We start from the raw sequence: 6,000 nt of genomic DNA on the forward strand, positions 1-6,000 counted from the left end.
TGGCCTGCCTTTGTGTGACCGCCAGCTGGCAATGACTGGAACCGTGACACATGACACTCCAGCTGTGTCCACATGTTTCTGCCTCGCAGTATCCACTTATATAATTTGCTTTTTTGATCAACAGTTGAGCCATTTAAGGGAACTCATCATATTACACATGCCAGCTACTTCTCTGCAAATACTTCTATTGCAATTTCAAAGAAAGATTTTCATTACTCCTTGCTTATTATGGGGATGTTGCGACTTCATTAAACATAGTGCAGTAAAAGATACATTCCTAATTGAACTTGAGTATTTTTCCCTTGAATACACATAATTACAAGACAATAGCTTAGCATTTAATCAAATGAACCATTAAAATAGTAACTAATGATGGTCTTACTATGACTGACAGACCTGACCCAACTCTCTTTAACTTACCCCTGCCCCCACCCCGACACACATACAATTTTATTAGGCTTGCTATATTAGTCATTGTAATTAGGTTTGCAGTAGAGAACTGATAACTACCTGGGTTGTGGTAAAGAATCTTATCTGCTTAGGTGTTAAAGTTTCTGTTGTGCTGCAATCTATTTTCTTCACAGAGATTTGGAAGAAGCAAGCAGAAATTGAACTTGACCCAAAATATACTTGTATTTTTATTACCTTTTCCTGTGAAACTGAAAACATTCACTTAATCCCTCCTTCCTGATACTGAAGAGTAGGGAACACACGCAGTCCTTTCAGCTCTTGGGAAAATTCTAAATTATGCAACTTTGGTAACTTATAGCCCAGCCAGTGAAACTAGGCCATTGTAGCCTAAAACCCCTCTTTGACTTTGTCCCTTAGTGTCACTTGGGTTTTATCAAATCACTGAATTGATTAAATATAGTGAAACATCAGAATGGCTGACCAGAGAACTATCTGCTGACAGTCTTTACGGCCCAGAAAGACAGGTACCATGCAAAAATGATTCTGGCTACTAGAGACATTTTACTTGGAGGAGAGAAGAATTCATTTCATCCATTTCTTTAATACTCAGACTGTCCTGGCTCATGTAAGCAGGGAGAACTTTAGGAATATTGAGAGAATTACATATAGTAGCTGTTAAAAAAAAAAAGTTCAGTGTGAGGGAGGGAACATGGAAAAGTCAAAGGTCTATTAAATGAGTCATCAAGAGACTTGAGTTCTAGTTCAGGACTTGCCACTAAATAGTTATACTGCCTTGGGGAAATAAACCTCTTACTTGTTAACGCATCAAATGCCTGATTCTTTAAAAGGAGAAGAGGAGGAGGAGGAAAAAGAAGAGAAAGGGGGTATGGAGCAATAGAAAGTCTTGTTCTTCCTAATACACAGGATCATTATGAAAACCCAATAGGATTTGGGCAAATATAAAATATTCTGCAAATTCAAGGAATTATTAGTGTTTAAAGTATCATAAACTTGGACATTAAAATTCGGGGATGTGTAAGTCCTAGGAATATACTTTATCCAAAGCTGGAGAAAGGTGAGATGTGTTAACTGAGTAGATGCTGTTTTCTTAGGGGCATTTGAGAGACAAAATCAAATTGAGAGTTGATTAAAAATTTTATCCTTAGACAATTAAATGTCAACAAATTGGTGAGCTGGGAGGGAACCAGAAACCTTATAGCAAACCCCCTTCATTTTACTGACAAGGAGACTGAGTCATAGCAAAGGGAAGTGACTTGCCCAAGTCCACACAGCCAGATGATGGTAGAGTGTGGAAACGGAGCCCTTCTGACATACACTGACTCCCATCCTCTCTATTGGATCTTGAGAGAAAGCATTCTGTCAAAAGACACACAAGCAGAATTAAGAGAGTTTCTATGGAAAATTCTCTTTCTGTGGGAAAATAAGAAAAGGTAAGTGGATAAAGTGCCAGACATTGGTGCATGAGATCACAAGACAATAAAAACCAGGATTAACAACCAGGAACAAAAGCTTGTCACATCTTTGGAGGGCTTTGATGAGAAGCGCCCTGGGACTTAGTGACCGGCTGTTGGGAACGGGAAGGAGTGGAAACAAGCAGCACTGGAGTCGGGAGCTTTATCTGATCTGAAAAGTGGTCCCTGGGGGAGTGACCACTAGCACAAAAAAGTCTACAGTGCTGCCTCGTGGGAGATGATAGCAAACAGTCTCCCACCAGGCCCTTGCTAATGTTGAAGAGAATTTGGAGCTGGAGGACATAGCACAGCAGCAGCAGCAGCATTATCCAGACAGCAATGAGGCCTGAGGTCAGGAAGCTGACAATATCATGGTTCTGGGTGGTCCATCTGCTTTGGAATAAGACCCCAGCCAGCAGCTGGGGTTACCAGAAAAAGGGTCTAGCTCTTAAGCGAAGAAGCTTGCAAGAAATCGAACTGTCTCTGGCATATCTTGGGTGCAATAATGAAGAACAAGGTAAGATATCCTCCGTCAAATGGGGTAGGATTCAGGGTAGATTCTGACCTCAACAGGATGGCTGAAGTGCAAACCATGGGAACCGGGCCAGCCCGTTTCAGAAGGAAAAAGTCATAGGAGGACTGGAATTTCCCCCAAGCCCATTTGGAACTCCAGTTTTAGGATTGGAGATGAGTTCCACTGCAGTGGTGTGAGTCTCCTGAAACACTAGTGCCCTTGGTCAGACTCGTAGGCTGAAAGACTACCGTTTGAAAGTCTATAGAGATTACTACTGAAATGTGAGGAACTCAGGGCCTAACACTTTTCTCAGTTATGCAAGGACCTAATCTTGGATTATTGTGTAGGCTTTAATTGCTATGAGGGCAGGTGTCATGTCTATTGGTTTGCCATTTTATGCCAGGTACACAGTAGTTATTCAATAAATATTTGTAAAAACAATGAATAAATCTCCAGACTACTTCCTTCCTCTATTGGTCATTCAAATATTATTTCTCTGATCTTAAGATCTTGTGCTACTGATGGACACCCTGCCTGCTTCATAAAGTTGTCCAGGTCTGGCTTATAGCCAAGCAGACTCAAAACTGTGGTTGCAGTAGAGAATCTTAACCAAAGTAAACATGTGGCTGGAAGGAGAGGCTGTAGGTCTTTCCTTCACCATGTCACCACCTCTTTATATCTTTCATACTCAGAGCATTCACAGAATTTTAAAGGAACCCTATGAAAAGAAATAAATTTTTATAAGAAGAGCGAGCAGACCACCAAACACTTGAACAACTGGTTATTTTCTCTTTGGCGTTATCAAGAGGGAGGTATCAGGAAGAAAGCAATAGACCAGATTCAAAAAGCATCCAAAATGTCACTACCTTATTTGATGTGGCCAAGGTGTTTAGATAGCAAAACTCATTAGTTTACTTAAATGTTCACTTATTAATTATTCTCTTTATCTCAATTTCTCTATTGCAAAATTATGATAAAAATCATACCTATCTCTTAGAGTGGTTGGAATGATTAAAAGAGTTTATACATACCAAAGGTTAAGAAAAGTCCCAGGTACATAATAAGTATTCATAAAGGTTAGCTATAATCATTGCTATCATTATCATTTCCATCATCACTACCATCACTGTCATAGTTGAATCACTTGTTCACAGAAGAGTATAACTGAAGACCGTGAGTTCCCTAAAGATAAGTGTGGCACAGTTACCACTGTTATGTCTGCCAATTAGGATAGAACTCAGTGCAAACTAGGGGCTCAACAAATATCTATTGATTAAAACAATGAATGCATGCATAAATCCCAGCAGAGACTTGGTGGCTAAATAAAACAGCAGAAAAGCCATAGTGGTATGGAAAGGCATTCTGAATCAACGGAAATCAGAGTTTGAATAGACGCAGGTGGGCAGATTTTAAGGTGATCATCCTGCCTGTGACTGAAAACTCCTGCAGAAGACTGAGCCATGATGGAATCCTGAAGTATGGTTCATGCCAAGAGAAGGAGAGCTTTGAAAGCCAGGCTAAGATGGTTGGACTTTGTTGTGAATCAGAGTGCACACAGTTCTTTCCCACACCAGAAAAACAGTAAACACTTAACACATTTCAATCAATCTAAATCTGAGAAGTTGTACAAGAGTCGCAATTCACGTGAACCACGGTCACCAATTTTAGCATGCATGGGACAGGCCATTTACTTAACAAACTGCTGTTTGGGTTTAAAATTTGTTATTACTACTTATTTGAAAAATAGTATGTGAATATCTTAAAAGTTTATCAACAGGAACTTCCAGCTACTGCTTGGGATATGAGAAACTGGAAAGGTCATTGCTTCTGCAATAATAACAAGGAAAAGATGTATAATCTACAAAATCATAACTTTTCTTGAACCTATGAGAGAGTTGAGATTGCATGACAAACACTTTAAAAAGACAGGCAATTCTAAAGAGATGTTAGGATGCAAACCCTGACTTCCCTGCAGCAGAGCATATGGGAAAGACGAGGTAATCATACCTCATGGGTAAGAAAGTTTTAGTTCATATTTTTTACAAATTGATAAATGCCAAGTTTGGGCTACTGTGAGAATATAAGAACCACCATGAGCCACAGACACAAGGGAAGTTCACACCCAACCACAGAATCATCTCCGTTAGTTTCACTGAGAAACTTTGCTGGGTGCTCATGGGAAAGAATGAGGACAGGGCAAGAGACCAAAGAGAGCCTCCCTTCTGAGGAGCAGAATTCACTGTAAGTAGGCAACAACCTGCCCAAATCTCTCCCCTCCAGAACAAAGCCTTAGACGTCCCTCAGAGGTAAGAAAGAAAGTTTGATTGACAAAGGAAGTACAGTGTGATGGAAATGGTAAATATACAGATAATTGTATTATCTGTATCAGTTTTAGAGCATTTAAAGATTAGAGAAAATGTTAGAAAATTAATAAAATGTCTAAATCAAAAATAGTAGCAATGTATAAATGTATAAAATAGTAGCAATTTAATCAAGACAGTGTTATATTGGTGAAGTATAGACACTTTGATCAATGCAACAGAATAAAGAATCCAGAAATAGATTCATACGTACATATGATCAATTTCTGAACAAGGTACAAAGGCAATTAAATATTAATATAGGCCCACCACAAATTCTCACCCAGGATTATTGTAATAGCACCATACCTAGGTTTAGCTTAGTAAAATTGCTAAGAACTAAAGTCAAAGATCTTAAAAGTAGCAGGAGGAAAAAAAATTACCCTCAAAGGACAACTTAAAAACAGAAAATACAGAAAACAGAAGATAATGAAATAACATCTTCAAAGCTCTTATAGAAAATAACTGAAAATCTAGAATTCTATATCTATATGAAATAATTTTAAAAAATAAATACAAGACACTGCTTATTTTGGTTAGGATCTGGAAAGATGTAAAAGGTCATTGTTCTCATGGTAAAAATAAGAATAATCTAGATGAAATAAAATCATATTTTTATTTTTCTAGCCAGCTGGCAAAGAATAGTATAACTAAGGAATCTTTGACAAACTGAGTTTCAGAGTTTCAAATGATTCCTTCATAAATGAACAGAGAGCCATAGCAGCTTTTGTACCTAAAGGATGGTCACTTCTAGTGCTAGTGGGTGGGAAAACCAGCCTCCCATAAAGACTCACCATGGGTAAGGAGGAATCAGACAAGCCCTAGAATACCATGTAAGTTGGAAGGACAGATCAGAATCTGGAAAAGCCCTAACTGCAAAAATAAAATTGGTATACCTAAAAAATATGTAGCCTTATCATATTCCTGAATTTTTGCCAAGAAAGCAGTAGTGGAGAGGGTCTGGAAGCCTAATATTGCTGAGTTTTCATACTTTCACAGTAATTGTGTTATTGGGCCCTGTTTAATTGAATCCAAAGGTAAACCAACTATATTTTGAATGGTGGCGCAAACTCCTCTCAATTACAATTAAAAGATCAAAAATATAGTTATAAGAAAAGTTAGGGGTTGAGCTATTCACAGGTGAACTCAATATAATTAAAGCTACAATTCTATTTGATTTGAGGAGGAACCTAAATAGTCAGTGCTTCACCCTAACTGCCAAACAAAGGAAAGGGGTTTCAAT

This window comes from Homo sapiens, chromosome 2 (assembly GCF_000001405.40).
Source record: "Homo sapiens chromosome 2, GRCh38.p14 Primary Assembly".
NCBI lineage: Eukaryota > Metazoa > Chordata > Mammalia > Primates > Hominidae > Homo > Homo sapiens.